This window comes from Homo sapiens, chromosome 11 (genome assembly GCF_000001405.40).
Source record: "Homo sapiens chromosome 11, GRCh38.p14 Primary Assembly".
NCBI lineage: Eukaryota > Metazoa > Chordata > Mammalia > Primates > Hominidae > Homo > Homo sapiens.
In genome coordinates this window covers 135,034,455-135,040,024 of record NC_000011.10, presented here as the reverse complement: position 1 = coordinate 135,040,024, position 5,570 = coordinate 135,034,455, and the positions used below count along the sequence as shown (strand labels likewise).

The 5,570-nt window shown below is 50.7% G+C and overlaps 2 annotated features.

The window, feature by feature from the left end:
- Positions 535-1,035: an enhancer, noted in NCBI's record as "H3K27ac hESC enhancer chr11:134908884-134909384 (GRCh37/hg19 assembly coordinates)". NCBI's record gives its function as "activates a minimal SCP1, AML or CMV promoter by ChIP-STARR-seq in naive H9 embryonic stem cells {active_cell/tissue: H9 hESC(naive)}" and the evidence as "EXISTENCE:reporter gene assay evidence [ECO:0000049][PMID:30033119]".
- Positions 2,726-3,354: an enhancer, noted in NCBI's record as "H3K4me1 hESC enhancer chr11:134906565-134907193 (GRCh37/hg19 assembly coordinates)". NCBI's record gives its function as "activates a minimal SCP1, AML or CMV promoter by ChIP-STARR-seq in naive H9 embryonic stem cells {active_cell/tissue: H9 hESC(naive)}" and the evidence as "EXISTENCE:reporter gene assay evidence [ECO:0000049][PMID:30033119]".

Genomic DNA, 5,570 nt, shown 5'->3' with positions numbered 1-5,570 from the left:
CCGACTCAGGACACACCTGGTGACGGGGAGATGCCGACTCAGGACACGCCTGGTGACGGGGAGATGCCGACTCAGGACACACCTGGTGATGGGGAAATGCCAACTCAGGTACTCTTCTCTTCTTAGCTTCACCTGGCCTGCTTTGGACATTTCCACGAAGGAAAGACATGGCAAGGGGCCCTGGATACAAGACGGGCTTGGGTTAGCAGACAGGGAAGCATTTTCTGGATCTCAGCTGAGCACCAGATCCTGCACAAGGATATTCAGAGCCACAGCCCCCTCCCTGCTCCAGGACCTAGACCCCCACACTGCAGCCCTGGGGATAAGGGCTGTGGCTCCCAGCGTGGCCCACCAGACCTGTCTCTGCCTCAGTTCCCAGCTCCACTTGGGCTTCCTGTGTGGAGGGAAAGGTGTGCAAGGAGCCTGGGAAGTCATTTTCTGCCAGATCCAAGCCTGCTAAATTCCCCTTCCTGAGGAAGAGGCTGGCAGGAGTCACACCCAGGCAGTTTCATTGCCTCCTGTCTTGTCTGGGACATAAGCCTGGGGTGGGAGCTGGTGGGAGACCTCCCTCCTACTGCCCAGGTCTCCTGGGCACAGAGGAGCCATTGGCATCTGCCACAGGTAGGGCTGACTCACCCAGCAGCCTGGCCTTCTTATGTCTAGGCTCAAGGGCCGTTAGGGAGACTTGAGCAGTCTTTGGCAAGTGCTTCTCTCCCATAGCTGCCTCCCCAGGCATTTGAGATTCTCTTTTTGGGAATAAGCCCTCAGTGAAAACTAAAGCCTGTGGCAAAAGCCTCTTGGACAGAAATGCAGTGAGTGACCTTTGCGGAGGTGGAGCTGGGGAGAGTACTGGGTCCCGGGCAAACCAGGAAGGCAGTGAACCAGTACTGAAAACTGTCCTCTTTCGCTTCTCTTTTCCCATCCCTAGATGCCAGCACCTCGTCTGACTCCAGCACAACAAGCAGCCTGTAAGGCTTCCAAAGGTTCATTGTGGCCTGAAGGACCTGGGCAGTTCTGATGCCACCATTGGCTCCTTCAGGATCCCTCTAGAGAATCACAGAGCACTGGGTGGGACTCTGCAGGTCTGGGGCTTAATCAAGCCCAAATGCCTGCCTCAGCTCTGCCCCCGGTGCATCGGCAAGGCTGCCCTGGCCCTGCCTGCCTTCAGGAGCAGACAGAAAGGTTGGGACTTTCAGCAGCATCCACAGGCTTGGAGACACTTGCTCTGGTGGACCATGAGGAGCTGGGGTGGACATTGCCCTAGCTCTGTGACATTGTCCGATCTTGCAGCCTAGGAAGGGCCTGATGACTGAAGCCATGCCTGCCCTCAGCTGAAGGCCCTGTTTGGACCTGGGGCCTCCTGGCCTGGTTGAGTGGCCACAGAGCACTTTTTTTGGTGACTGATTCTTGGAAAATAGGGTGGGACCCAGAAAGATGCTCCATAATCTTACACAGCCTTTCACATGCACTTCAGAAGAACGATCAACCATGTGCTCTCACCCCTGCCACCCAGCACCATGGGGTCATCAATGGGGAGATCACAGCTGTGGGCGGCGAAGGGAGTGATAGGGAAGGCACTCAGCTGGGCCTTGGGAGTGGGGTAGGACACAGAGCAGGGCTCCCCTTTGCTCACCGGCCTGAGGGGGCCACTGGCCAAGGGTGTGTCTGTAGAACGCCCATAGAATCTGTTGCCTAAGTTGGACATTTTTGTGAATGAAAAGGATGCTATTAACAATTATATCAGAACCATCTAGGAAAGATTGCACTTTATGGTTACCTAAGAATATGAAACGGAGAGTTTGGGGGTTTGGCAGTGGTGATGAGGAAATGCAAAATAAAGTTGTGGGGACAACCCAGAATAGACCAGAGTACATGGCCCCTGTTCAGCCTGGCAGTGGGTGGGCGTTCCCATCAGGCATTGGGAAAGTAAGGCTTGGGCTCTGGCTGTGGTCTGGGGAAGAAGGGATGCAATTGGAACAGACTGGAAGGGGCCTGAATGGCTTTGGACAGTGGAGGACATGGTGGGTTCTGGGCACAGTGGCAAGGCCAGTGCTGGGCTTTAGGACGATCACTCTGTCATTGGCAAGGTGAGTGGAGAGAGGCACCACATCCAAGATGGAGAAGCCGAACCCAGCCACCAGTGCCGGGGGTGGGAGGGGCGGGGGCTGAGCAGGCCATGAGCCAGGAAGTGGGGTACATTCCGGAGGTTTGTTCTCCAGGCTCCTCAGGCCCGCAGCAGGGGGTCCTTCTTGAATGGGCAGCTGAAACTACACTGTGCCCCCTCTAAGGCCTGTGCTGTGCGAGCAGCTTCATGGAGAAAAGTGGCCCAGCCGGGTTCTGCTAAGGTGTTGCTGGGGTCACATAAAGCAACAGCCCCCAGTCCAACTCACCCACACCCCTTAATAACCAAGCCACTGGCTGTTCCAAAATTCTCCTCAGTGGATACCCCATTTGTCTGCTACTGCAAAGTACAACAGATGCTCACTGGAACCTGACAACATTAGTCTCCTGTGCCTCAGTTTCCACAGCTGAAGGGGATGGCTCTCTTGCACGCCACCCCTCAATAGGAACACTTCCCAGATGGCTGCAAGCTGGTGACTCCACTTCCCACTCCTGAGACCCAGCTATGGAAGTCCAGGGGCAACCCCTGCAGGGTGGGGTGTAGGTCCTACAGACGTCACAGAGGGAGGCCTGCAGGCACAGGCCAGAGCCCATCTGAGGGTTCGAGATCCTCACCCAGGAGGGAGGGCCAAGAAGCAGCTTCCATGAGTCCCTTGTCGGCCCCGGTGGCATGGTCGGGTTCCTCCTTCTGTCTGCTGTGCTCAGTACTGGGCCTCTGGTGCCAGTGCACTCCCTTCAGCACCCTGTTCCTTCCTCCTGGCAGTGAGCCAAGAGGTCTACACTGCGAGCCAAGTGAGGTCAGAGACTCGTTATCCAATGATGCAATAACTCTCTGAGGGGATTGTTAGGGACGGATAGGGGTGGTCATGTAAATTTCACAGAGCACATCCAACACCTGTTCCAGTTACATCTCTGGAAAAGGCAGGGGAGATATTTATCGCCAGGTCCACCCCAGCCCGTGGCCCCAGACGATACCAAACCCACAGGCTGGATTTGCGGGTGAGGTGTGGAGGCAGAACGAATGCTCTAGCAGCTGCTCTTCTTTGCTTCCCCCACACGTCTCTGTACCTCTGTATTCCTGGAGCTCAGAATGCCTGGCTGTGACACTGCAGGGAGCCTTCCTGGCCATTTGCTGAGTGTCGGCCGCTTGTCAGTTCTGCACCATAGCAGGGTCCTGACACCCAAAGTCCATATTGCACCCACCCCTGCAGTTCTCACAGCCTCCACATGCTTCCCTGGCTTCCACACCACTGCCAGTTCCTGCTCTAAAAGACATTTGAGGTTGGACGCGGTGGCTCATGACTGTAATCCCAGCACTTTGTAAGGCCGAGGCCGGTGGATGGCTTGAGGTCAGGAGTTCGAGACCAGCCTGGGAAATATGGTGAAACCCTGTCTCTACAAAAAATACAAAAATTAGCCGGGTGTGGAAGATTGCACCACTGCACTCCAGCCGGGGCAACAGAGAAAGACCCTATCTCAAGATAAATAAATAAATCAAATTTATGTTCCTAACTCGCACACGGGTGCTTCCTTTGGGGTCTGTGTTTTCCAAATGCTTAAATAGAAATAAATGCCAAGTCAACAGTTACTTTTGTCTTCAGTGCAGGCCCTGTTGTGCTATTGTGTGGTTTCATTGGTTGTGGTTACAGAATATGTTCTTCTCTCCAACACTTCCCTGTGCTCTCTAGACAAGTGGCTTGCCATCTGAGTGGGAGGTGGGCTGGGACCGTCTTCATCGTCTCTAGAGCTGGATGACCAAGTGAGGTGAATGCCTCTTTCAAGCCTTGATCCTTTGGGGCTTGGAGAAGCACATTGGAAATACTAGAAAAGTGTGGCCACTAGGACATTGACATTTAGATTGCTGGTCCTCCACACAGTGAAATGTGTGAGACTTAAAAAAATGAGAAGATTTGTCATGTCCACTGTTTTGGAGAACAGTGATGAGAATTAGCAACTGCCCTATAGTAAATTCATTCCATTTGAGGCAGCAGAAACAGTGCAGCGTGGTCTAGCATTCCACAGTCCCAGAGAGCACCTGAGTGCAGAACCAGCCCTTTTAGGGTGTGCATACACGGTGTGATCCCCTTCCTTTAAATAATTTTTCTGTCTCTCTAACTCCTCATTCATGATCCCTCCATCCATCTATGCATCCATTCATCCATGTACCCATCCATTGATCTATCCATCTATTCATTCATTCATCCATGCCTCAACCACCCATGTCTCCAACCATCCATCCATCCATCGATGCATGCATCCATCCATCTGTGGATCTATTCATTTGTGCATCCATGCACGCATCCATCCATGCCTCCAACCATCCATGCCTCCAACCATCCATCCATCCATCCATCCATCCATCCATCCATCCATCCATAAATCTATCCATGAATCTATTCATCCATTCATGCATCCATCCATGCATCCATCTATCCATCCATCCATCCATCCATGCATCCATCCGTCCATCCATCCATTCATCCATGCATCCATCCATCCATCCATCCATCCATCCATCCATCCATTCATCTATCCATCCAACCATGCATTCATCTATTCATGCATCCATCTATTCATGCATCCATCCATTTATTACAACACAACATATTCAAAACTTTTGTCCCCATTCTTTTCTTAACCTGAAACTCTCTTCTTCCAGAGGTCCACATGGTTCGTCTCTGCTTGTTCCCTGAATGTGCTCAGGTTTTCCTTGCCTAAGGAGGCTTTCCCTGACCACCCTATATAAAAATAGCAGCTCTCTTACTGTTCTTCTTAATTCTCCTTATTATATTTTAGGTTTGTTAATATCATTTTGTTGATACACTATTTTATATTATTTTGTTTATAGAAGGACAAAGGATTTGTTAGTTTCATAATTTTATTATATCCTAACCTAAAACAGTACTAGGTCTGAAATAAGTACTCAATGTACATTTGTTGAAAAATAGAGTCGATGAATAAATGAATGTTATAGCTAGGTACATGCTATCTTTAAGAATCACCCTTTTGGAAGATTATATACTTAATTCCAATGGTGCCACTCATAACTTTTTTAAATTAATAATTACTTGTGTTTAGCACCAAGACATGCTACACATGTATACATGTTTATTTCTAACTCATGATATGATGCTGCAGGAGGGTGATGTTATTCCCACTGTTAAGATGAAGAAATGGGGCTTCCTAAAGTCATACAGCTCATGGATGGCAGGTCCAGGCTTCTGACTCAGTACATCTGCAGTCAATCTCCTTCCCTACTCAACCAGTCATCCCAGACTTTCTTTCACACAAGCCTCCCATATCTGTTTTAAGAACTGCACACAGAACCCAGCCCCATCACTCTGTGGCCACATCTGGCCCTTCATCTTGTCTGTCTGGCATCCTGATTCCTTACCTTGTCTGATTTGGCACCAGAAGATTTTGATTATTTCCCAAAATCAAACACCCCA